Raw genomic sequence first — 26534 nt, forward strand, 5'->3', positions numbered from 1 at the left:
CTGAATGAATGGGAGGGGCAAAACTGCTAAAGCCTTAAGCTGAAAATAAGTACAATGGGGAGCAGTGGGACAGAGTTATAGACTTCTGGTAAAATGTGTACTTTAAGAGGTAGATACCCCCAGCCCCCACAACCACCTCTCTGCTTGTCTCCCCTAGTCCACCAGCTCCGACCAGCAGACATCAAAGTGGTGGCCGCCCTGGGTGACTCTCTGACTGTGAGTAGTGAGCCATGAACCAGGATGGGCAGCTCAGAGTCCAGCCAGGCCCTGCGCAGAATCTGTGCTTCCCCAGCATTGGCTCCGCTTTCAGTGCTGAGCCCGTGTTACTGAGGGCCTACCCATGTCAGGCACTGAAACACAGCCAGGAGATGTAGAATGCCCTGTCTCGCCACCTTCCCAGTTCTGCTCAAAGCCCCCTCGTCCATGAGGCCTCCCCTCAATTCCCCAGGGAGAAGCAATCCCCGCCTTCCCCACTGTTCACAGGCGTTTTGTTGGTGTGTGATGGCACTCATTCAAGTCTGCCTGCCTTCATCAGGGGACTCATCTCCATCTACCCAGACTCAGAGTGGCAGGTCTTACACACACACTGCCCCATGCTCCCTACTCCATTTAAGGACATGTGCTTTGGGGCAGAGGGAGCCCGGTTCCTCACACATAGCACAGTCTTGCTAAGTGAATTGTGTTCGCCAATTACTTAGCCATTGTTGTGTACACCAACACTCTATTAGCAATTCTAAGGGAAATGAGGTATGAAACACAGTCATAGCCCCCCAGCAACCTGTCTGGCTGGAAAAACAAGAAACGTACACAGAAAGAAATGCATAGTCACATAGATGACATATAGGACTTGGATGTTTTATTTTTATTTTTTAACTTCTAAGTTCAGGGGTACATGTGCAGGTTTGTTACACAGGTAAACTTGTGGCATGGGGTTTGTTGCACAGATTATTTAATCACCCAGGTATTAAGCCTGGTACCTATGAGTTATGTTTCCTGATCCTCTCCCTCCTCACACCCTCCACTGTCTGATAGGCCCCCGTGTGCGTTGTTCCCCTCCACCTAGGACTTTTAAAATAGGGTAGTTATTTCGGTAGAAACAAACACCAGCCCCACATGTGTGTGAATGTGTTTCCATTTTGGCATGAACATGGAAAAAGATGTGGAAAGGCACATATGAGTCTGTTCACCACTAATGAGCTCTGGTGGTATTTGCATGTGGGTGAGGAGGGAGTGTGGAATCTGTGGCAAGGGGCAGGATTCTTAAGGTAGGGGTAGATTATTCGTTTGTTTAAATATTTGTATCATTTCACATCTGTTACTTTTGTAAATTTCAAGGTTTTGTTTTTTTTTTTTTTTTTAAGACAGGGCATTTAGAGAAAGCTGTATAGAGGAGATAGGAACTGATGAGGGTCTTAGAGAACGAATTTGGAAATGTAAGCTGCTGGAAAGGAGGGAGTTCAGCATTCCATGAGGGTATGGGAGTGGGTGGTAATGGGGTAGACCAGCTCAAGGCCCTCAGGCTTCCAAAATAATGGCAGGTAATTAGCTTAGCCCTGAAGATTTGTGTGGACTGGGAAGGAGGGAGCAAACAAGGGTAAGGAAAGTAGAAACCAGATTATGGTGACCTCAGAAGATTGGTGGTGGGATTTGGCTTTAATCTTGAAGGTAAGGGAGACTCATTGAAGGGTCAGGGCTGGGGTTGGGGAACATGAAGAAAGAGGCATGTGCAGGAGTAACAGAAACTGGAGTCAGTTCACTCAGGCAGGAGGCCAGCGTATTGCCCGTGGCAGGGAGGTGAGGGTCTCAGTTAGGAACACGGCAAAGGGAACAGAAAGAAAGGGGCGGGTGCTAGGGAGAGTGGAAAGGAGGAACCAACAGGACTTGGTTACTGGCTGTAGGTAAAGAACTGAGGAGAAGAATGTATCAAGACCACTCCAAGTTTAATATGGCCTGGAGAAAAGCCGGTACTATTTTTAGAAAAGGCAAATCCAGGTCCTAGCTGCTACCCCAGGGCCAGAGGAGGCTCTTCCAGTGCCCTCAGCCTATACCCCAGCCCTGAACTTTCTTTTTGCTTTTTACAGACAGCAGTGGGAGCTCGACCAAACAACTCCAGTGACCTACCCACATCTTGGAGGGGACTCTCTTGGAGGTGAGGATGTTCTTGATGCATGCTCTATTGATGATGCTCTCTCAGAGAGGTGTGAGTAGTGTGTTTCCTGTCACCCCTCCAGGGATGCAGTTGGGTCCCCAGGTCCCAGCGCTGAGACAGGAGACTCAATGCTTGCATTACCCCTGAGGGTGATGGGAGAGACGCCCCAGGGGCCCAGAACCCGGTTCCGGTTCTGGCTTGTGCATATGTTGACACAGGGAGCAGCATGTTGGTGTGAGTTTAACAAATATGCTTTCTCCTCCCCAGCATTGGAGGGGATGGGAACTTGGAGACTCACACCACACTGCCCAGTAAGTAGCAGCCCAGAGAGGCACCATCACTGTGGCCGTCCTCCCTGGGGCCAGGGCCTTCCTGCTGGAGGAGGGGAAGAGGAGGTTATCTGCAAGAAGGGAAGTCAGCCAGCCCTGAAAAGCCCCAGAACTCCTGTGTCCCACCCATGTCCCCACCCTGCATGCTCATCTCAGTTACTGTGAGGGTCCTGCAGGCTCTCACCTGTGCTCTTCTCCTCCTCCTCCTCCTCTAAAGACATTCTGAAGAAGTTCAACCCTTACCTCCTTGGCTTCTCTACCAGCACCTGGGAGGGGACAGCAGGACTAAATGTGGCAGCGGAAGGGGCCAGAGCTAGGTGAGTAGATGCCGTACAGGAGGGCGAGTGGAAGGCAAGACTGAGACATCAGGGTGGGAAACCGGAGGAGAGGAGGGTGGTGTCCAGAAGCCTGGTCCCAGGGGCAATAGCAGCTGTGCAGGACTTTCTATGTGAATTATCTCCTGAGATCCTCACACCCTTGGACAGGGGCACTGAGGCTTATAAGCTTTCCAGAACCACCAAGATTATCCAGCAAGTTATCAGAGGAGGCAGGATCAGACCATGCCTGAATCAGGAGCCTTTGCTCTGACCACTGTGCTATTACCGCCTCTCCAGGGCAGCAGGAGGCGCACATCTGCCCTGGACCCGGGCGCTGTCCCTGCTGGCTCCAGCTCCACCTCCTGCCCAGCAGGTCAAACGTGCAGGGTGGCTCTCAGCACCTCGACAACTGAGTGCATGACCCGGGGGATAGCTGCCCTTTCTCTCTCCCCACCTCACTTCAGTCTTTGGCTCTGAAAAAGCTATATTCTGACACTAGGGAGTTAGATGTCAGGGCCCCCAAAACAGCATGGTGGCTGTTTGTTTTCACTGGGATTTCTGTTGTTGACAACAACTCAGATAATTAAAGCTGAAATGCCTGACCAGGCTCATTGATTTTCTGCATGGAGCGTGCTGGGTGTATGCCTTGTAGAAGGATCACTATGCTCCGATCACCAGGGAAACGACACTGGCTTGACTCACTCTGTTTACAGGGAATGTTCCTTTCAGAAGTGGTAACGTGGGCCCCATGCTCTGTTTGAGTCTCTAAGCCACAGGAAGCGATGTCAGTTCCTCAACGTCACGAGCAGGAAGAAATTATTTTTCTGCAAAAACTGGGCTTTATGAGGTCATTATAGCAACATCTAATTACTGTTATTATTGTTATTATCATCATCATTTTGTTGTTCTTGTACAGTACAGGCTTCATTTTCCAGGAGGTGATTTCTCACTCTGTTGACAATCAAGCCCCTTCTTCCTTTCTCACTTCACTTCTCTTATTGCCTTTTCTATTTTACCGCTGCTCAGCTCCTCTGCCAGATGAAGTCAGTGGCCAGGGAAGTAGTTGAGAACATGGGGCTCCTTGTGGGTATCTCTGATGTCCAATGTTAGGGGAAAGGAAAGTAATCCATTGACTTAAGAAAGGGAGGTTGGATAATTGCTCTATAACTTTCCTTTATCTCTATTCTGTTGTTTATTAGCATAGATACAGATGAGTTCACCTAAAGAGAAACATACAAACCATAGCAGAACACCTAATATCATAGGGTGTGGGATCAGATCATTCGTGTCTACATTCCAGCTCCAAGGCTTGCTAGCTGTGTGACCTTGGGCAAGTTGCCTAGCATCTCTGAGTCTGTTTCTTCAGCAATAAATAGGGATAATAATAGTACTTCTCAGGGTTGTCATAAGGATTAAATGAGATAAATAATCCGTGAAAAGAATGTAGTACCACACATAATACCCACCAAAAAAGCAGTACAGTACAAATGTACCAAAAGTTTGCCATTTAATAATGGATCTTCAGTTTCAAAGTTTTTTTCATCTAACTTTCCTTCCATCAACCAATAAGAATTCATTGAACACCTGCAAAAGAGTGAACCCTAAGGTGGTTACTAAAAGATACAAAGGGCCAGGCATGGTGACTCACACCTGTAATCCCAGCACATTGAGGGCCGAGGTAGGTGGATCACCTGAGGTCAGGAGTTCAAGACCAGCTTGGCCAACATGGTGAAACCCCATCTCTACTAAAATCAAAAATTAGCTGGGTGTGATGGTACACGCCTGTAATCCCAGCTACTCGGGAGGCTGAGGCAGGAGAATCACTTGAACCCAGGAAGTGGAGGCTGCAGTGAGCCAAGATCGTGCCATTGCACTCCAGCCCGGATAACAAGAATGAATCTCCATCTCCAAAAATAATAATAATTAAAAATAAATAAAAGATACAAAGGAATCAAAAGATGAACTCCCTGGCCACGAAGAGCTTGCACTCTAGGTAAGGAGGCTAAACAAATGGGAAATAACTTTCTGAAAAAGACAATGCTGGGTATGGCAACAATGCAGTGCTTCGCATGGAGTACAATTAAGAGAACAGAAGAGCACACAGTATGAACTGCACTGTCTAAAGACAGATGCAGACCCAGAAGGGACCCCTGAAATCATCCAGTCCAACCTCTTCCTTTAAAAGATGGGAAAAGTCAATCCTAGCAAGATTCAGCAACTTGTACAAGCTCAACAGCAAGTTGGTAGCAGAGCTGAAAGTAGAACCACTGGTCCCTGGGGTAAAAAAGGAAATGCAAGATGTGTGGATCAGGGAGCCCAGAGAGGAGGCTCAAGGGAAAGTAGGACTTGGTCTGGGCCTGAAGGATGGGAAGAAGATGGCTAGGAAGAGGGGAAGAAGCGGCATTTGTAACTTCCCCTCCTACCCACGAGGGCTTATTGCCCATGGATTCTCTTAGTCACACCTTGAACCTGTTAAAAGGTTAAAGGCACTTCTGTGGTCACCTTTGACCAGAAAAGTCTTTCTTTATAGCTTTCTGGTATACTCATCAATAGCAATAATGTATGGGATACAATCCTAGATCTGTAAATTCTCCTTAATGAGAAACAAGGGTAGGGATGGTACCATGTGTGTTTGGCCACGTACCTAGCTTACCGTGGCCACCCAAAGATTTTCAGTGGCCAGCTCGCACTGGTTGCTGCTTTTATGGCTTCTTCCATGGACACTTTCATTGGCTATATCCCCTTTGCTGACCTAACTTCTCACAGACATTTCTTTAAACACAGCTTTATTGAGGTATAAATGACATGCAATAAACGTCACATGTTAAAAGGATATAATTTGGCTGGGTGCGGTGGCTCACGCCTCTAATCCCAGCACTTTGGGAGGCCAAGGTAGGCAGATTGCCCAGGAGTTGGAGACCAGTCTGAGCAACTTGGTGAAACCCTGTCTCTACCAAAAATACAAAAAATTAGCCGGGCATGGTGGCATGGACCTGTAGTCCCAGCTACTCGGAAGGCTGAGATGGGAGGATCACTTGAGCTCAGAGGGGTTGAGGCTGCAGTGAGCCGTGATCACACCACTACACTCCAGCCTGGGCAACAGAGCAAGACCCTGTCTCAAAAAGGATACAATTTAACATTGTACCTGTGAAATCATCACCACAATCAAGATGAAAAATGTGTTCATCACCCACAGGAGTTTTCTCAGGCCCCTTGGTAATCTCTCCCTCCTGCTCCTTCCTGTCCCTACCTCACACCCCAGGCAACCACTAACCTTCTTTCCATCACAATAGATTAGTTTGCATTTTTAAAAATTTTATATAAATGGGATCAAAGAGTATATACTTTTTATCTGACTTATTTAGCAAAATGATTTTGCGATGCATCCATGTTATTCGGTATACCAATAGTTCGTCCCTTTTTATGGCTGAGTAGTGTTCCGTTGGCATTCATATCGCTCATCCAGAACACCAAATGGTATTGTTTTATTTATGGCAGACATCAGGGGATGAAGGGAGAACTAATCCTGTCCATCCTGGTTTATTGGAGAGGGAGAAAAAAAAAAGTGAGGAGATGGGGAATGGTGCGGAAATCTAAGTAACCACAGAAAAGAAAAACAAAAGGATTAAAGGAGCAGAGAGCAGGGCTTAGAAGTAAAGGTTAAAGGAGTCATTAAGCCTGGAAAGGAGAAAACTGAGGGATAATTGAGAGCTGTGACTTTTCTCAAATATACAAAAGGTTATTTTTAAAACAGGCAACTGAAGAAGAAATGAACAGGCTTGGCTTACGAAGAAAGAGCTTGAGGAAGTATAAGGGAAAGTCCTGAGGGGAGGCTTGACGGGATCCCAACCCGAGTGGCCGATGAGACTATTGGGTGGCAGGGGCTAGATCAATGTGGCTCCAGGGTCCAGGGCAGCCATGTGATTGTTACTAAGCTGAGATTTCTTGAGAATGGAATGACCTTTGTACTGGTAACATCATTCTTCTTGAAACACCTCTCTTCCTAGGCCAAAATCCCATGTCGTGAGTCCTCGCTCCTGAGCCGGCACTAACGCCCCTCTCTCTACCCCCCACCTAGGGACATGCCAGCCCAGGCCTGGGACCTGGTAGAGCGAATGAAAAACAGCCCCGTGAGTACAGGCCCCCAGGCCACCCCTGAAAGGTGCCCATCTCCTGCTGGCTGGGGAGGGGACAGCCCCATAAGGGTCCCTCTCACCACAGCACTTCCTGCTTTGGGCTAGCCAAAAGATCCTCGGAGAAGCAGTCCTTACCAAGGAGGCGCCTGCCCTGGCCACACTCCTAGACGCAGGCTGTGGCACCCCTCACCCCAGGGCCGGCTGCGGGAGGGCAAGGTGGAACAGGGAGTTGGCTGAGGTGGTGGCCTTGGCCTCTGACAGCTTCCTGCTTTAACCAAGAGGTGGCTTCCCAGAGCCCTATTATGTAAATGCAAGGTTCTAAAAATAGGCTTCTCATTCCAATCCAGTTCTGCCTCCTTCCCCTCACCCTGCCCCTCTGAAACTTCTCACTAGCACTTTTTTTTTTAACCGTTCAGTGTTTATGCCTAGGAATTCAGCTCCCGGTGGGATTCCTATTATGGAGGTGGCCAAGTGGAAAGCCAACTGCTTAGAGGGCCTCCCAGCCCCAACCCCGCTTCTCAGTCCACGCTGGGCTCTTCCTCCAGTCTCCTTCCCCCGACCCTAAGAACTCATCCCAGGGGCAGCTTAGGGCCTTTGCTTCTAGCTGCATCCTTTGCCTACAGCTCCCTGGAAGGCCTTCATTTGGGGGGACGTGGTAATCCCCTCGGCATTTAATGGGCCAAGGATATGTGGGACACATCCACATTCTACTTCTCCAGGGACACAACTTTCTTAAGATTTCAAGGGGAAAATAGCCCTCCCTTGTGTAAGCAGAACCCCGTCCCCCGCCAGCGCCCACCGCCAAAAAAAAAAAACATCCTCTCTGTGGAGCACCTTATCCTAGCACCAATTGAGGGCTGGGAAGCCCCACTTTGTTGCTTTTCTTTTTTTTTTTTTTTTAGACGGAGTCTCGCTCTGTCACCCAGGCTGGAGTGCAGTGGTGCGATCTCAGCTCACTGCAGCATCTGCCTCCTGGGTTCAAGTGATTCTCCTGCCTCAGCCTCCCAAGTAGCTGGGATTACAGGCACCTGCCACCAGGCCAGGCTAATTTTTGTATTTTTAGTGGAGACGGGGTTTCATCATGTTGGCCAGGCTGGTCTCGAACTCCTGACCTCAGGTGATCCACCTGCCTCAGCCTCCCAAAGTGCTGGGATTACAGGTGTGAGCCACCGTGCCTGGCCCAATTTGCTGCTTTTCTCTGTTACAGTATAAATAAGACAAAAGGCACTTGGAGGGCGGGCGGGCTGGCCCAGTAGCAACATTTGTATGTGCCTCCCACCAAGGCCTAAACTCAGGATCTTCTGTCCCCTCAGGACATCAACCTGGAGAAAGACTGGAAGCTGGTCACACTCTTCATTGGGGTCAACGACTTGTGTCATTACTGTGAGAATCCGGTAGGCCCCCGACCAACCCCATGGGGACCTGAGAAGGAAGGTGCTGACCTCTGGCAACATCCTTGCCCATCCATCCCTGGCCCTGCCCCGAGCTCCTTGCTCATGGGAACCACATTTGCCTGCTGCCCCAGGCCCTCCCTGGTTTACACATGCCAGGCAAGGCCCAGCCTTTTCTACTGCCTGAGCGACCCCTGGAAGAGCAGGTGCATTGGTTCCCCAATTCCAGAAGTAAGGCCAAGGTGGACCCACTGTAGGCACTGCTGAGGTGAGGCCTCTCTTATCCACACAAATATGACCTCTGGTACCAGATAGGGGACTAGCCATCCTCACCCCATCCCTGCCCTGTTTCATTTTGAGGAAGGGCAAAACAATGTTCTAAATGGGGTTGGATGGGTCATCACGAGTTAACCAAACCTCAGTGGTGGCCCTGGGAGCCCAAACCTGTTCCTGATGTTTCCATGGGGAAATATGTCCAGACTCACAAACTTCTGGAAGTTGTAACTTCCAAAAGTTTTTATTTTGGAATACATCTTGTTCTAAGTTGGGGACATTCTGTATTTTATTTGGCCGGGAAAAGGCAGCTGCCCAGCCTCAGAGATTGTGGTCGAATGTTTGACAGTCACAGATGGTGGTGTGGGGGAAAAGGCATTTATCACTCCTTGTGGCTCACAGAGGCCAACTACCAGAGGCTTGATGAGAAGTATCCTCCCACACACAGGAGTTGGTTTTCCAAACCTCTTCCCCTCAGTTCTCTCCCTGACCACCCACACTCTAGAGGCAGAAGTGACCCTAACTCATGGGGATTTAAGTATTGCTGTGTTCTGGACTCCGGGGATACCTGGACCCCAGAGCTGCGTGGACACTGTGGACGCTGGCGTAGGGAAATGCCCTCTACTAGTCCCAGGATGTGTGTTCTTCATGGGAACAGTCAGGTTTATACTTCCGAGAGCGTAGTTTAGTTGAAAGGGCTGGGCTGCCCCGACTAGGATTAACTCAGACTGTTTTAAAAAGAAGGAAAGGGGGAAAGGCAGAAACTCTGGGAGACACGAGGTCCCCTCTCCTCTATTTTAACTCTTCGGCATGGATTGTCTATCTTGTTCCTTTCCCCTTCTTCCCAACTCCCAGTACCCCTTCTGGTGGCTGTGGCCAGAAACTCAGCGAACAGCACTGGTCCTATGCCCATCAGTGTGCTGGAATTGAGTGCACGGTATCTCACCTGGCCTCAGCTCTTCGTCTCCAGAAAAAATAATGGGCTGCCTGAGCTCTCCCCTCCTGCCTGAGTGGTGCTGCTTTGTGGGTGCCTCAACTCCCACTTCCTGTGGACATGCTTTCTTCCATGAGTATAAGAGCTTCAGGTTACCACCCGCACCCCCACTGGTATCAGCCTGTGACACCTTCTGGGCCTGTAGCCCAGAGCCACATCTAAAAATAGAGGCCCATCTCCCTCTGCTATAAAGCAAAGCCCTGAGATTCAGCCTGCAAGGACTTACTGAGCACCTACTATGTACCTTGTTTGCATCACCCAGGATGCTGTGGACACACCTCTAAATCAGCCTCCTACTGGGGAGATGGTTCAGAGGAAGAGAACCTTACACTGAGTCACAGGGGATAGAAGTTAGGGGAACACAGGAGAGCAAAACATTTCAGGCAGTGGGACCAGCATGGACCAAAGCCCAAAGGAAAAAGGAAGTGTGGCCACCCAGGGCATGGCAAGGGGCTGGAGAAGGCTGAGGTCAGATGACGGATGGGACTGCCGAGAGCCAAGGCCAAAAAGTGGCAGGACCCAGCACTGGCAGAGTCCACTGTTGGGTCTGAGATTATGTAGAGCAGGGTGGGGGTTGGGATTGTTCATGGTGTCTAGTAGGGGACAAGGGATGATTCCTTACAGAGACTCAGCAGCAACAAGAACTGGGCTTCTCAGTTTGACCAGGACCACCGAAGCCCCTCTGTACCCACTCAGTCATTTAGCCCAGGCCCCAGAGCCCTCCTATGCTCTTGCCATTCTCTCAGAGCGGGCACCAGGGGCTAAAGAGAGTACCCTTTTTTCCTTACAGGAGGCCCACTTGGCCACGGAATATGTTCAGCACATCCAACAGGCCCTGGACATCCTCTCTGAGGAGGTAGGAGAGGGGTTACGTGTTCCTGGGTCCCGCCAGCCACCTCCCTGGGATGCATGTAGGCAGGCTGTGTTCAGTGAGATGCTCACGGAGCAGAGACCCGCCATGAGTGAGCACCTGGATGGCAGGGAGGGAGGTGGCTGTCAAGCTCCTCTGCAGGGAAAATTCTCACTTGGCCAGAGACAGGGTTGTGTGGTAGCAATGAGCTTGCCTCTGAACCAATTGGCCCAGGTTTGCGCCCAGCACTGTGGCTTCGGGCAAGTGACTTCCCTGTGTCTCAGTTTCTCAACCTATAAAGCGGGGCCACTCAAGAAGATTCAGTGAGATACTACAAGTTGCATCCCCTCTCTGGGCCTCAGTTTCTTCATTGGTAAAATTGAGGGGAGTGGGAATTGGATTGTAGATGACCCCCAGGTTCCTCCCAGCAGTAGCCAGTGCCCTAACGAAACCACCCTCCACTCCCTGCAGCTCCCAAGGGCTTTCGTCAACGTGGTGGAGGTCATGGAGCTGGCTAGCCTGTACCAGGGCCAAGGCGGGAAATGTGCCATGCTGGCAGCTCAGTAAGTGGACAGGTCACCGTCCCAAGGCAAGGGCACCTGGGGTGAGGAGGGCTTGCAGGTGCCAAAGGAGGAGACCAGTTGAGGCAGAGCCAGGCAGGCCTGCCAGAGGGTAGACATGGCTCAGGGGCTTGGACAACATCAGGAAGTACCTCTACATTTGCAAATGCCTACTGTATGCAAGGTGCCTCATTTCTCTGGACCCCCTTTTGCTTTTCTGTGAAAGGAGACAGACCAAATGATCCTTAAGGCTCCCTGACATTGTCAGTGATTGCCAAGGCAAACCTTGGCACGCTGCTCCCTGTTGAGAAGCAGCATGGGGCCATGAGCTTTCAAGGCTGCTACATCCAGCCTTGACTGTTCTGCCATTTAGGAGCTATGGGACCTTGAACAAACCACATAACCTCTATGAGCCTCTGTGTTCCTCATCTGTAAAGTGGGGGTGATGACACCTTCCCTGCAAGGTAGATGTGAGGTCAAGAGGAAACAAGGTACCTGGCCTACCAAGACTACCAAGAGCAGGGTCTTAGGAAATAGCTCTTATTCCATCCTTGATGGGGCCTGTCCTTGATAGCTGGGCTTGGAGGCAAGGTGCTAATGGGCAAGACAAGAACTCCTATCGGGGGCTGGAAGTCATTAAAGCTCTTGAACCCTGGTAGGAAGTTGCCATGTTCTGAGGGCAGAGGGCCTCCCACAGTTTGAGTGATTATTGCTATGAGAGAGGAGGTTCTCCAGGGAGCTGAGGAGTCCTACACCTGGGCTCAAATGGATTTGCTGCAAAGGTGACCAGCTGGTTCCCATTTTTGCAGGGAACCCTGCTCTCTCGCAGGGAACGGCTCCTCCAGAGTCTGTCTGTATCGTGTTCCATGTTGTCAGAGTTGCTTCCAGCCGGTTGGCCCTCCCCAGCTTTCCCACAGACTTCCCACACTGGAGCCCTGAGGGAGGGTCCTAAGCAGTTGCAGGAAGAGCTGAGAGGCCCCCGGAACTTGAGGAGCGATTCCAAACCCAGGGACAGAGCCATTGTGGCTGGTTTCCTAAACTCCAGTCTCCTGTCTACCCAGTCCTGCTCTGGAGAAATCCCAGGGACCACAGGCTTGGGAAGGAGGAAGGGGAATAGGCGTTCTGTCCACAGGGAGGTCCAGGCAACAGCTTTCCCTCTTTCTCTATGAACAATCATCCTCTGGACCTCAGGGCTCCTGAGTTAGCATTCTGTAACCTGGGTCCAAGAATCAGCCAAAGGTGTATTGTGGGGATACTTGTGTGTCACCCCCCGCCCTAGGTAAGGCAGCACAGGCTGCAGGCCCCTGGGGTAGTGGCCTGCTCTGTGTGTCAGAGCCAGCCTCCCAGGAGGACAGAGCCACAGTGCCCCAGGCAGCCTCAATACAACACTCCCTGTCTCACAGGAACAACTGCACTTGCCTCAGACACTCGCAAAGCTCCCTGGAGAAGCAAGAACTGAAGAAAGTGAACTGGAACCTCCAGGTAAGCCCTGCAGCCCTTCTCTTACTGACCCAGCTGGGGGGCCCCCTGTACTCCAAGGACTGGGAAATCGAATGCCCAGCAGGATGTGGCCAAGAGCAAGCCACTCCCTAAAAGCAGATTGCAGCCCCTGAAATACTTACCCCTGCAAATTGAACACCAAGGCCAGGGAAGGGAGTGAGAGACCCCAAAGTGGAAGCTGAGAAAATCCCCTTCTCCCAGCGGGTAGGCAGCAAGAGATTCCCAGAGTAGACTCCTTGTGGTAGGGCCCATTCCCCACCCAGAGCCATGTGTAATAATTACTACTCACTTCCTCCCCTCCCTTCATTAAAAACAAAAGGCTTAGGCCCGACACAATGGCTCACGTCTGGTGTCCCAGCTACTCAGGAGGCTGAGATGGGAGGACAGCTTGAGCCCAGGAGTTGGAGGCTGCTGTTAGCTATGATGATGCCATTGTACTCTGCCTAGACAACAGCGTGAGACCCTATCTCAAAAAAAAAAAAAAGAAAAAAAGAAAAAGGCTTAGCCCTGCCCTACTTAACTCTACCTCAAATTCTCCTTGCCCTCTCTCTGCCCCCTTCCATCTCCCCACCTCCACTCCTGCTTATGTCTCTGCCTCTATTGTTCCCTCTCAGGCTCAGGTAGCATTTCCATTCTGCAAACTGACCCTCCTTCATTCACAAGGCAAGTCTGCTTCCCTCCTCTAAGGAGCTTCCCCTGCCTGAACTTCACCCGCGGACATCTCCCCATATCACATTCAGTCTGTACTTGATGGGCCCTAAAAGCCCCAAAGGGTTCTCATGTTTTCACATCTTGGCTCATTTTTCCAGATGGATGATAAACTCCTTGAAGATAAGTACATCTAGTCTGTTCCTTTTACATTCCATGCTTGGGTACTTAAATCCAGCCACCGTGGACTCTCCTCCCGCAAAGTTCATGGGCATTTTGGGAGCTGGTGTTGAGATGCTCCCCATCTGACCTGCAGCCCCATGTTCTAATTGACCTCTTCGTGCAGTGAGAGGAGGGGAGGACTTTGGCCTATGCAATCTGGTCAGTGGCTCAGACCCAGCCTTTCAGGCAGAGGCTTTGGAATGGGACTGGGTGGAGCTGTGTAGCTAGGGAGCTTCTCCCACCAGGAGCCGCTGGGTTCAACTCATCTCTGATCCTGAGAACCAGCATAGGGCTTTGAAATGTCCGTGCCCATGAATGGGTGGAGAATAAAAGTATGTTTGCATCCCACTAGAGTAGCCCCTTAAAGTCACTGTCCTTTAGGGTGAGTTGACTCCCGTCAACAACCAATCCAAGGCAGCAGGACTGGACCCTGTCTGTGCAGCCTTGCCAGGAGGGTTGAGCAGCTTCTCTCTCTGTCCCCAGCATGGCATCTCCAGTTTCTCCTACTGGCACCAATACACACAGCGTGAGGACTTTGCGGTTGTGGTGCAGCCTTTCTTCCAAAACACACTCACCCCACTGAACGAGGTGAGCTGCAGGTATTTTAGGGAGGCTCACGTATGGGGGCCTTATCACAGACGATGGATGTATTTCCTTCTCTAAGTGGGCTTTTTTTTTTTTTAACCATCTCTCTCCAAGAGGATTCCTGAGGGTGGCTTTTTCCACATTACCTCCTTTTTGTGGGGGCTGGGCTGTGATTGGAACTCAGATGTACTTTGAAAGGAAATCAATAGTGACTAAGCTCCCAGGCCTGGCCCTGATGTTTTCTGGATTGGGATAGAATGGAAAGCTTCCTAAAAATGTTACTCTTTTCAACTCTTAGGATAGGGGTGCTGAAAGAAAAGGGAGAGACTATGGGTGGGTCCAATTCTTGTCTGTTTAAAAAGAAAATTCCGGCCGGGTGCAGTGGCTCATGCCTGTAATCTCAGCCTTTGGGAAGCCAAGGCGGTTGAATCACGAGGTTAGGAGTTTGAGACCAGCCTGGCCAACATGGTGAAACCCCGTTTCTACTAAAAATACAAAAAGTTAGCTGGGCGTGATGGCAGGCACCTGTAATCCCAGGTACTCGGGAGGCAGAAGTTGCAGTGAGCTGAGATTATGCCACTGCACTCCAGCCTGGCTGACAGTGCGAAACTCCGTCTCAAAAAAAAAGAAAAAAGAAAAAAAGAAATTCTAAATTCTGGGAGTTTTTCCATCAGTATCTGAGCAAGTTGGCAGGAAAGTTGAAAGAATGAAAGGAGACATGCCCAGGGCACCTGCTGGGAGAGTGAGTGGGGCTCAGGTAGCAGAGCCCTTTCCCAGGATGATAACCTCCTTGCCGTTGGTTGCAGAGAGGGGACACTGACCTCACCTTCTTCTCCGAGGACTGTTTTCACTTCTCAGACCGCGGGCATGCCGAGATGGCCATCGCACTCTGGAACAACATGGTGAGCAGCCAAGGGCCTGGTGGGCCTTGTCAAGGGGGGATCTAAGGATATTGACACTCTGTCTCACAATGGCAAAACTACTGGAGACATGGCTCCTTTCTCCCCAAAGCCCAAAGTGGCAGCACACCTTATTGGTCCTGATAGATTAATTCCAAAGGGAAAATACCCTATATTTATCCAACACCCTTTGAAAGTTATACAAACACACACTCACACAACTTTATTCTTTGTTCCTTCAGCAATGCCCAGGTACTGCGAGGGGATCCCTTTGTAATCAGATAGGTTGGCTAGATGAAAATACCAACTTCTACCTCGTACTGTGTGACCTTGGGCAAACGATCTCTCTGGCCACCTGTATCAACATCTATAAAACAGTGAAAACAAGACAGGTCTCAGACAACGCATTGAGATCATGTGTACATGGCACCTAGCACAATAGTTAGCACTCAGCAAATGTCACCACCATCAGCCTTCCAAGCACTCCGGGCTCAACTCATACCCAACTCATTTCTCTAAACATCGAAAAGTGGAGATCCACACAGCCTGTTTTCCGAGGCTGATACCTATTCCAGTCCTTTCTGATGGGAAGAAGGGACCTTATGAAATGAACATACAGTCTGGGGGTCTTTCAGGGACACCTGCCTGGTGCTTCCACTCTGCCTTCTGTGGCTGGCCACCAGCAACTGAATGGTTTCCGCACAGCACTTGACCTGTCACCCCCAACAACTGGATCCTCTTGCACGGAGCAAATGAAATGCCTTCCCAACCCAATGGTTTCTTTTAATCCAGGCTCAGTGGGTAACACAATCCCCACCCCAACCTGTATGTTCCCTCCTTTGTCCTATGACAACTAAACAAGCTACATTCCAGCTCCTTTTATCACAGTTTCAGGCCCATAGTGTCTCTGCCAACCACCGCTGTGCAAACGTTCCCACCCCTGTCAGCTCATCCAGTATGTCCAGCATCCCACTCGGCTGACTCACAATATTGACTTTCTCCTTAGCTATACCATCTCCTCCTCTCTAGCAACCTCTTCTTTTAAGAACAGCATGTAAACTGGCTTTATCCTTGGCCTAGTTAATGGCAGACTCAGCTTATGTCGACTTCCATTGTCAGGGGGTTTTCCTCCTGTGGACATCACGTACCTGCCCACTCCAAGAACTTCTATTGTACTCTTTCAGCCCAAGACTCCGGATTGTAACCAAAATGTCTTTGAGTTTGCCCCACGATTTTTAAATCAGTTTATATGGTATAATTCCTGTTTCTTTTGTGGATTTTGTTTTGAAGGCGGTTGTCCTTCACTGGCTGAATCATGTGACTTTATTCCTTTGTAAAAATCTTCCCAAAGAAAGGGTACCTATTCCCTGTTCCTTTTCCCCTGAGACCTCAGGGGATTCCACAGATGCCCTTGGCCCTTCCTTCCCAGTTTTTTCATCAAGGTATGGCCTTCCTACCAGGTGGCACTCCAAGTCTGCTTAAATCTGGGACCCTCCAGGAATCTCCTGGGGCTGGATAGCCATAGTGACGGCTGGAACATGAAAAAGAGTCCATTGGTTTCTTTTCTTGTGAATTAACAATGTAGCTCTGGCCAGGCACGGTGGCTCATGCCTGTAATCCCAGCACTTTGGGAGGCCGAGGCAGGTGGATCGCTTGAGCCCAGGAATTAGACACCAACCTGGGCAACACAGGGGAGATTCTGTCTCTACAAAAATAATCAAAATATTAGCCAGGTGTGGTGGTGCATGCCTGTAGTCCCAGCTGCTCAGAAGGCTGACGTGAGAAGATCACTTGAGCATGGGAGGTCAAGGCTGCAATGAGCCGAGATGGCACCACCGCACTCCAGCCTGGGCAATAGAGTGAGACCCTATCTCAAAAAACAAATAGAAAAAAAAAATATATGTAGCTCTGGCCTTCTCTTCTAAAGCAGTTCAGTAGCTCTTCCCATTCACCCAGGTAAGAGGCCTTTATTTCATAAAGATAAGTGGGAGGAGTTTAGATATGAAAACAAAACGTAAACACCGCACTGGAGCTATTGTGGAAACAAAACAAGACTGTCCATGGTTCCCCAGCCATTATTATCTCAGCCATACCCCGAATTTCAAAATAACAAAAACAAAACTAAAGCCATCCAGGGGTTTCTTATCCTAGGCTCTATAATTTGGGGAAATAATTATACAGTCTAATGTTTTCATCCAAAGCCAATCTTAGACATAAAGCTGTAGCATGATGCCAACTTTTCAGATCGGCTTCTGGCTGGAATTTCACCCCTAGAGTAACAAAAAATAAATAATAGACCATTAGAGCTGGAACAGACTGAGAGGTCATCTAGCCAGAACATTCTGTAACTAAAGCATAGAAACATGAAGCAGTTTGCCCAACATAACACAGACTGTTCATGGCACAAGGGGGATTACAGACCAGGTTTTTCTAGTCCTTTCCTGGTGACCTGGGCATGCCACCACCCTCCCCACTGCTCCCAACCTGATAAGCACATATATACCCGGTGAATTCATGTCTCACAATTAGAGTCCTATGACATAGTGTCTGCAGGCTTTGGCTGATGTTCCCAGGGTTCCCTACTAGGAAGCAAAAAGCACCTTAAACTATTTCATCTTATTTCATCTCCTGCCCCTCCTCTCACGTCCTTCTCGAGACTTTTGCAAAGGCAAAGCCAGAAGCTCCAGCAGCACCAGGGGATATTTTCCTCTTCCTCTGCCTTCTTCTGTCTTCTTATCTGAAGAAGTTTCTCTTTCCCGAGGCCTAGTCCTCTACTGCTGCCTCTACTCCCTCTTCTGCAGAAATCCTGCTCTCAGCCAGTGTTTGTATCTCCCCAGGTGCTGGGTGACAGCTCCAGCCTCCTAACTGACATCCCTGTCTTCAGACTTAGAGCTCTTAGAATCGTGACTCTCAGCTCTGGCTGCATATTAGAATCATTCAGGGACATTGTGTATGTGTGTATGTATGTGTATGTATGTATGAATGTGTGTGTATGTGTGTGTGTGTATGTATGTGTATGTGTGTATGTATGTATGTATGTATGACAGAGTCTCACTCTGTTGCCCAGGTTGGAGAGCAATGGCACCATCTCAGTTCACTGCAACCTCCGTCTCCTGGATTCAAGCGATTCTCCTGCCTCAGTCTCCCAAGTAGCTGGGGTTATAGGTGCATGCCACCATGACCAGCTAATTTTTGTATTTTTAGTAGAGACAAGGTTTCGCCATGTTGGCCAGGCCAGGCTGGTCTTTAACTCCTGACCTCAGGAGATCCACCCACCTCGGCCTCCCAAAGTGCTGGGATTATAGGTGTGAGCCACAATGCTTGGCCATCCAGGGACTTTTAAAACAATTAGTGCCTACAGCCACTTTGGAAAATTCTTTGGTATATTTAATAATGCTGAACACATGTATTTCCTGTGATCCAAGGATTTCACTCCTAGGTATATCCCCAAAAGAAAGGTATATATGTGTCTACCAAAAGATACACACAAAAATATTCACAGCAGCACTATTTATAAATAGCCCCAAACTAGAAACTCCCCAAATGTCCACTGACAGTAGGATGGGTGAGTAAACTGTGGCACATTCATACTAAGGAATACCATACAGGTCTGACCGCATCTGTGGCTTTAAACAAAAATCAAGCAGGGTGATGTGACACAGAGTAATGGCTGGGAAGAGGGAGGCCTCACTGAAGAAGTGACAGCTGAACAAACTTCAACAACATACAATAATATCTATAAAGTTCAAAAGCAAGCAGCTTGGCATATGGGGTTAGACGTCAGCATGATGGTGTAGAGACTCACTGGGGGATGAATAGTCCTGGAAGAAGGTGGAAAGGGGCTTTTGAGGACTATAATAGTCTGTTGCCTGACTGGATGCTGGTATGTTCATTTTATCGAAACTTATCTGTTGCTCACTTATGATTTGTACTCGTTTCTATGTGTATGTTAGCTTCAATTAAAAGTTTACTTGAGGCCGGGTACAGTGGCTCACACCTGTAATCCCAGCACTTTGGGAGGCCGAGGCAGGCAGATCCCCTGAGGTCAGGAGTTCAATACCAGCCTAGCCAACATGGTGAAACCCCATCTCTACTAAAAATACAAAATTAGCCAAGCGTGGTGGCACGTGCCTATAATTCCAGCTACTTGGGAGGCTGAGACAGGAAAATCGCTTGAAACCAGGAGGCAGGGGTTGCAGTGAGCCAAGATTGCATCATTGCACTCCAGCCTGGGTGACAAGAGTAAAACTCTGTCTCAAATTTAAAAAAAAAAAAAAAAAAAGTTTACTTGAAAAACAATATCAGTGCCTGACCGGGCTTATCCCCAGAGAGTCTGACTTAATTGGTCTGGAGTGCGAGCTGGATTCGGTACTTTGTGAAAGCTCCTGAGATTATTTTAATGTGCAGGGTTTATGAACCGCTGCCTTAGATCTGGTCCCCACAGAGAAATCAAGTAATCTGTATAAAAGAAAACCTGACCCAGTCACTCCCCTGCTTTCAAACTTCCAAAGCCTCCCACCTCTGAAGGAGGCAGGCCAGGCCCCATAGCACAGCACACTAGGCCTCTGGGACTTGGCCTGGTTCACCTGATTAACCTCTCTGGCTACCATTTCCACCAGCGTCTGCCTCGCATGTTACAGTCTAGTGACTCCAGCAGCGTCCTGCACCACCTGTGGTGTTACACACCTCTGCTAACTCTTGCTCTCCTCCTTCTCCTGGATTGCCCTTCTCACCTCCTTGCCCACTCCACCACTCAACTCAGGTGCCACCTCCTGCAGGAAGCTACCTCTGAATCTCCAGGACAGGCCAGTGGCCCACCCAGGTCCATTACACCCTGCCCAGTCCTGTCATTTGCTACGTGGTTGGTAGCCACAGTGCCTGGCTTAGGAAAGACTGGTTCTAGGAAAAACAATTTCATTCCCTGTGGCCAGCTCCAAGCCTTCCCCCGCCAAGCTTCTCCATTCAGGTCTCTGTGAATTTAATTAATTCATCCATCCATCAAACAAGTATTTACTGAGCACTAATATGTGCTAGGTACTGCTCCAGGTGCTGAGGACTCAGCAGTGAAAAGATGACTGCTACTCTCATGGGACATACAGGATAGTAGGGAAAAGACAGATAATCAACAAGGTCATTTCTGACCACATCTGTGGTTTAAGAAAAAGTCAAGCAGAGTGATGTGATACAGAGTAATGGTGGGGGAGAGGGAGGCCTCCCTGAAGAAGTGACAGTGAATTGAGAAGCGCATGTCAAGGGGTTGCCAGGCAGAGGAAATAGGACCCACATGGGCCTAGAGTCAGGAATGAGCTTGAAGTGTCTGAGGAACTTAAAGGCCAATGTGACCAGAGGGAAGTGAACAAGGTGAAAAAGTTGGGCAGGGGCCAGGTCCCTAGATGCTTCTAAGCAGTAGAGTGATATGCTCTGGCTTACCCCTGGGTCCGTGTACCCTGGACTGGAAGAAAGCAAGGGTGGACCTGGAAAGACCACTAGGAGGCTGCTGTTGATGGGTGAGAGAGGAAGGGGGCTGAGAGTAGGGTCAGGGCAGAGGAGGAGAGACGCTGTCGTGGGCTGGCGGATGGATGATGGGGAAGAGGAACAAAGGATGACTTTTTGGTTTGGGGTCTAAGAAACTGGGTGGATGATTGAGCAGGTAGAGAAAAAATCAGCGTGGGAGGAAAAAAAATCAAGACTTCTGTTTTGGACATGGTGCAAACTGCCTTCCAGACATCCACATAGAGGTATCAGGATACAGAAGTTTGGAACTCACAGAGGAAGTCAAGGCTGGAGATTGAAAAAAAAAAAAAAAAAAAAAAAAGTGGGGTTATTAGCATAGAGGGCCAATATGGTGAAACCCTGTCTCTACTGAAAATACAAAAATTATCCAGGCGTGGTGGCATGCACCTGTAATCCCAGCTACTCAGGGAGGCTGAGGCAGGAGAATTGCTTGAACCCAGAGATGGGGTGGAGGTTGCAGTAAGCTGAGATCGTGCCATTGCACTCCAGCCTGGGTGACAGGGCAAGATTCCATCTAAAAAAAAAAAAAAAGCCACTACAGGATCAACTAAGAGCTCCTAGAGAAAGAATAGGTAGGTAGAAAAGAGTGTAAGGCCAACTACCTAGCCCTGGGCATTCATTCCAGCTTTCAACTCCAGTGAGAGATGAGAAGGAGAGTGTGGAGGTAGATGGGAAATGAGAAACAATGCTGTGTCCAGAGAGCTAAGAGAAGTCAGTGTTTCAAGAGAGACAGAGCTGTCAACTTTGATGGATGCTTCTGAGAAGCCAAGCAAGTTGAAGACAAAAAAAAAAAAAAATGATCTTTGGCTCTGCCCATATGGCGATCGTTGGTGGCCAGGGCCAGAGCTTCCATCCAGCGATGGAGACTGCAGACTGGCTGGAGCGAGCAGCAGAGAGAAGGAGAGATTAGGAAGTGCTGCCAGCACCTATAGACAGCTCTTCCCAGAAGTTATGAGAAGTAACAGCCACGGTCACTGGAGGGGACATGGATCAAAGAAAGGGCAGGTGAAGGAGGGGAGATGTCGGAGCAGGTTGTGTACTGACGAGAAGGAACCAGTAGAAAGGGAGAAACTGATGCACTCATCAAACCCTTGTAATCACGATCATCTTCTGTGTGAATTAGTTCTGGGTTCCTGGAATAGCATCGGGAATCAGCCGCGCTGACCTTTAGCATTTATTCTGTCACTGTTACGATAGACTTGAGTTTCCTCAGTTCTTAAGAAAGTGGAAATAATACTACCTTATGTATGTAAGCCACCCCAATCACACGTGCTTTCATGCCATCTTCTCATTTGATGCTCACAACAAACCAAGGTGTCAGGACAGGATGTCATGCCTGTCCCTAACCTCAGAGAAGTAGCCAGCCCAGCACTGCACAGCTCGTTACCAGCAGAGCCTGGATCCCAGCCATCTGCCCATCGTGCTCAGTCTAGTCACCCTAGCATCTCTCCCAGGAACAGAACTGCCCTCCCTCCTCCAATTGTGTTACTAAGGAACGGGTGTAAAAGGCCTTCAGACAACAGAAAGTGAGATCATGGGCCAGGTGTGGTCATGAGCTCAGATAGTGAACTTTCACCTCCCTCCCTGGCAATACCCTGTGGTCAGGAGCAGGCAGATTACACAAAGAGTGGAGGCTAGACGTTCCAAACAGACTCTGAATAGGTGACAGTGCCAGGGGCTCATTCTTCTCAGTGCTGGCCACAGGTTGGGCCTGGCTGCTGGCTAAAAGGTGCCGGGGAGGGGGATACAGCAGCTCCCAGCTCATCCTCAGAGGGTCCTGGGATCAAAGGTATTTACACCCAGGGATATTTCAGATAAATCTTTTCATCTATGTGGAAAACATACAAAGTGGCGCAAGTGAGAAACTCCGATTTCCTAAGGTTGACAAGTCAAGTGCAGTAATGATGTCATGGTAACCAATATGTTTCCAAACTTTCCTAAGGTTGACTAGCCCCATGCACTTTGAGAAGTTGGTAAATAGGATTGTCGTCGTTTTATAAAATTGAAAACACGGTGTCTTGCAATCACAGCCACTCACAAAGGAAGCCAGAGATGGTCCCAGCCCCTCCGCAGACTTCCTGTGGACTCAGGACTGGTGGTCTCTCCTGGGCCTTGCTGTACCCGGCAAATCCAGGGGCACAGACTCAGGGTTCTGCCCTGCCGACAGATGCTGCCTAGCCTTCTGTGTGTCATAAGTCAACTCCCGCTCAGCCCCAGGCTGCTGGGTCCCTGCTGTGGGCCAAAAACCAGCCACTTCGCTGGTTTCTATCCCCCACCCCGTTCCCGAGGGAGGGGCTCTGGTGTGAGACACCCCCTCAGAGAGGAAAGTGTCTCCCAGCTTTGGAGAGAATCGAGGTGTCCTTTCTCTCTCTCCAGCTGGAACCAGTGGGCCGCAAGACTACCTCCAACAACTTCACCCACAGCCGAGCCAAACTCAAGTGCCCCTCTCCTGTGAGTAAACGTCCTGCCTGCCCCAGGTGGAACAGATGCCTGGGGTGGGGGTTGTCCTGTCCCCTGGAAGCACAGAGGAGTCCCCGGGGATGCTCCCTCAAATGCGGCTTCACTCACTGCCGTCTTCTCAAATCCCACCTGTCCCCAGTGCCACGGAAACTTCTCAGTGTGTGGGCAGCCATGGAGGGAGGGGAGAGGACGTTCAACAGCTCCAACCGAAGGGAGGACAGTCGCTCAGGGAGGCAGATGAGCACTGGCGGGTGTCTCGGGTCACCCATTCCTTCCGAAAGCTCTGATGCATCCTCAGTCTTAAAAGTGCACCAAGGCCAGGCGTGGTGGCTCACGCCTATAATCCCAGCACTTTGGGAGGCCGAGGCGGTCAGATCACCTGAGGTCTGGAGTACAAGACCAGCCTGGCCAACATAGTGAAACCCCGTCTCTAGTAAAAATCCAAAAGTCAGCCGGGCATGGTGGCGGGCGCCTGTCATCCCAGCTACTCAGGAGGCTGAGGCAGGAGAATCACTTGAACCCGGGAGGCAGAGGTTGCAGTGAGCTGAGGTCATGCCACTGCACTCCAGACTGAGTGACAGAGTGAGACTGTCTCAAAAATAAAGTGCATCAAGCAGCTGTCCCGTGCCAGGCAGTATACTAGGATCTGGGGATCGGGAGGCAAAGATAAAATAGACTCAGTGTCTGTTCCTGGAGCCTGCAATGGTCTTCCTCCCTCGCCACACCCACTGCCCTTGCCTGGCCCACCTTCGAAGCCTGTGACTTGTCTCCCCAGCTCTCCTCTCCCTCTTCTCCATCCACCCTACACTTGCTGCCAGACACAGATAGACCTTCCTGGAAATAACTTGCCCCATCAAGGCTGCTTGAAATCCTTGCCTGATCCCTACTGCCCATTGACCAGAGTCTGGAGGGAGGGTCACCTCCCTCCATGATACACACTGCACTCCTGGCCGGTGGATCCATCTCCCAGGAAGCCCCACGACTGCCCGCATCCAGGCCTTTCCTTTTGCCATCTGTTCCTGGAGGTTCATCTTCCATCTGCTATGAGAACATCCGCCTCCCTCCAGGTCCAGATGTTGCCTTTACTAAGCGATGGTTTCACCGTCTCTTACCTACCATTCCTGTCTCCAGACACTGACCCATGTGGGTCTCCTTTTCTATTTGTACCTCTCATGAGACACCGACCCAGTCTCCTTTATGATGTGATTGTTTCTGCACATCTCAACTTCCTCCTGGGCCACAAGAAAAGATGTCACATCTTAACCCTCCAGTCTCATCACAGCTTCCAGCAAGGGGGCTAAACACAGCACGTGCCCAATTCACATTCACTGAGAGGAGAGTGGAGAGGGGCATAGGAAGGCAAGAACGCACACGATCTGCCCACATGCCTCCCCTCCCGGCCCTTCTGATTTGGGGATCTTTCATCTACTACAAAACCAGCTGTCCTTCCATGCTGCCCTTCCCTGATTTCTGGGTAGTCCTGGGATGGGAGAATGGGGACAGTTGTGACCACGAGGAAGCAGAGGTGGGAGTTCTACAGGCCCCACAGGGCTCTCTGCCATTGGTCACCTATCAGTTCCCAATCTTTCAAAATCAGGTTTGATGGCCAAGGAAACGCTGGTGAGAAACCAAAAGAAGGTTCTAGCTGGGTGTTGACCTCTTTAGAGGCCCATCCCGCTAAAGAGGGTTTGGGCACAGCCTAAATGAGGGAGCTTTACAAAAGGGAAGCTCTGTGAAAACGTGCAGGGTTATCGCAGCATCTCAGGAATGGGGACTAGGCAAGTCTTGGCTTGGTGATGGATGGTTCACGGAGATCCTTTCCACTGACCCCCGCTCCTCCTCCACAGGAGAGCCCTTACCTCTACACCCTGCGGAACAGCCGATTGCTCCCAGACCAGGCTGAAGAAGCCCCCGAGGTGCTCTACTGGGCTGTCCCAGTGGCAGCGGGAGTCGGCCTTGTGGTGGGCATCATCGGGACAGTGGTCTGGAGGTGCAGGAGAGGTGGCCGGAGGGAAGATCCTCCAATGAGCCTGCGCACTGTGGCCCTCTAGGCCCGGGGGTGGGTCCTCACCCTAAACTCCCTATAGCCACTCTCTTCACCGCCCTCTGCCCCAGCCACTCCCGGCCACCAGGACATGCTTCAATGCCTGGTGCCATAGGAAGCCCAGGGGACAGTCACAACTTCTTGGGGCCTGGGCTTCTTCCAGGCCTATGCTCCTGGAATGGATACATTTAAATAAAGTCCAAAGCTATTTTATTCCTGGGTTTGCCTGCGTGAAGCACTCACCTTCCATCTCTTGTGCAGCCCAGGTGTGGGAGCTGCCACTTTTTGTGGCCTGCCTCCAGCAGGGCTGCCCAAGCCACGACCAACCAGAGCCCAAACTGCCTGCCACCACGAGCATATCCTCAAGTCACCAAACCCACTATTTCAAAGGCAGAAAAAATGCTGGTCACCAGGTGGTGGCTGGAATTTTGGAGCTGGCTGGTTGCCATTCAGTCCAATCCAACACATACCTATTAAGCAACTGTTTTGTATCCAGGACAATGCGAAGCACTGAGGTGCCTCCTAGGCTGTGCATGTCGCAGCCTGGCAGAGAGGTCAAACTCCTTCAATAACCAAGAAGCCACGTGATGATGTGTAACTACTAGGGCATCAGTAGGTAAATGTGTCTGATTGTTTTAAAGAATAGAAAGGGTTCTTCGGGGAAAGTTTCTTGGGGGAGAGCAACCTTCACATGTCATTTTGGGAAAAGGAATAAAAAATGATTGGGACACAAATACCTCCTATATTCTCAACCTGATTTTCTCAAGGTGCTAAATTTAGGAAAAAATTCCTATTTCTATATGCCCAGGTTTCTGAGGGAAAACTAGAGAGAGTCTGAAAATATGGGCTGCATTCACTGAGCCCCTGCTAGGGGCGAGGCCCCGTGCTGGAGGCCTTCCACAGATGGTCTCTTTTATGCTGCACAAAAGCCCAGGGAGGGGGTAAAGGGAAAATCTTTGAAAATAGAAGTGATGCTTGCGCAACACCGTGAATGTACTAAACGCCGCAAATTGTTCCATTTAAAATGATTAATTGTGTATCATGTGAATTTCACTTCAATAAAAAAGAATCCAGGGAGGTAGACATCATCTGCATTGTAAACCTCTCTCTGATCCTGAAGTCCGGGATGATAAAGAGCCTGAGTCACAATCCCGGATGCAACACTGAAATGCTGTGCCCTGAAGCTGCCTTCGCCAGCCTGAGCCCAGTGTCCCAGGCTCTGCATCTGTAAAAACTGGAGTAAGAGTACACATTTTGCTTATCTCACGGCGCTGCTGAAAAATAAGGAACCGTGTGTGAACCTCTAACTCTAAAATGCTGCACAACTGAAAATGGCCTTTTTCCTCGGTGAAGAGTTGGGATAAGGCCCAGACTGTTGGGGAAGATGTGAGACCCAGAGATGAGTTTGGGGAAATGGGGTAATAACATATGGGTGGAGAGTGCCCGCCTTCCTCTCAGGGAGGTTCATCACCTTATCTCTTTCTGTCACAACAGAGAACCCGGAGGACCTATACCCAGTTCCGTGTTCTTCTGGGCTTCAGTGTCTGTTTCTATACAATGGGAACAGCATGCATTCCCCTGCTTTTTCCTATAGACTGGAAAACGTGGTGACCAAGTCACACATCCCAGCTTATGCTCCCGGCTTAAGACAGTGTAACGACAA

General features: G+C 49.9%; 1 protein-coding gene across 3 annotated transcripts in view, besides 4 other annotated features; it reads left to right on the top strand.

The window, feature by feature from the left end:
* The window catches only part of PLB1 (phospholipase B1), a 148083-nt gene extending 122124 nt beyond the window's left edge, over nucleotides 1–25959 (top strand). For all 3 annotated transcript variants that reach the window (NR_138141.2, NM_001170585.2, NM_153021.5), the window contains 13 exons: nucleotides 158–216; nucleotides 2082–2149; nucleotides 2417–2460; nucleotides 2696–2795; nucleotides 6874–6925; nucleotides 8245–8325; nucleotides 10380–10445; nucleotides 10911–11002; nucleotides 12403–12481; nucleotides 13853–13957; nucleotides 14761–14856; nucleotides 22744–22818; nucleotides 24675–25959. Coding sequence is in view for 2 of the 3 variants with exons in the window: in NM_001170585.2 (NP_001164056.1) it covers nucleotides 158–216; nucleotides 2082–2149; nucleotides 2417–2460; nucleotides 2696–2795; nucleotides 6874–6925; nucleotides 8245–8325; nucleotides 10380–10445; nucleotides 10911–11002; nucleotides 12403–12481; nucleotides 13853–13957; nucleotides 14761–14856; nucleotides 22744–22818; nucleotides 24675–24878 (1121 nt within the window). In the remaining variant the exon portion in view is untranslated. The remainder of the gene's footprint in view (nucleotides 1–157; nucleotides 217–2081; nucleotides 2150–2416; nucleotides 2461–2695; nucleotides 2796–6873; nucleotides 6926–8244; nucleotides 8326–10379; nucleotides 10446–10910; nucleotides 11003–12402; nucleotides 12482–13852; nucleotides 13958–14760; nucleotides 14857–22743; nucleotides 22819–24674) is intronic.
* Nucleotides 3607–3696: an enhancer, noted in NCBI's record as "active region_15519". NCBI's record gives its function as "activates an Ori minimal core promoter by ATAC-STARR-seq in GM12878 lymphoblastoid cells {active_cell/tissue: GM12878}" and the evidence as "EXISTENCE:reporter gene assay evidence [ECO:0000049][PMID:35858748]".
* Nucleotides 6647–6796: an enhancer, noted in NCBI's record as "active region_15520". NCBI's record gives its function as "activates an Ori minimal core promoter by ATAC-STARR-seq in GM12878 lymphoblastoid cells {active_cell/tissue: GM12878}" and the evidence as "EXISTENCE:reporter gene assay evidence [ECO:0000049][PMID:35858748]".
* Nucleotides 6887–7046: an enhancer, noted in NCBI's record as "active region_15521". NCBI's record gives its function as "activates an Ori minimal core promoter by ATAC-STARR-seq in GM12878 lymphoblastoid cells {active_cell/tissue: GM12878}" and the evidence as "EXISTENCE:reporter gene assay evidence [ECO:0000049][PMID:35858748]".
* Nucleotides 21664–21733: an enhancer, noted in NCBI's record as "active region_15522". NCBI's record gives its function as "activates an Ori minimal core promoter by ATAC-STARR-seq in GM12878 lymphoblastoid cells {active_cell/tissue: GM12878}" and the evidence as "EXISTENCE:reporter gene assay evidence [ECO:0000049][PMID:35858748]".

Source organism: Homo sapiens, chromosome 2, assembly GCF_000001405.40.
Source record: "Homo sapiens chromosome 2, GRCh38.p14 Primary Assembly".
NCBI lineage: Eukaryota > Metazoa > Chordata > Mammalia > Primates > Hominidae > Homo > Homo sapiens.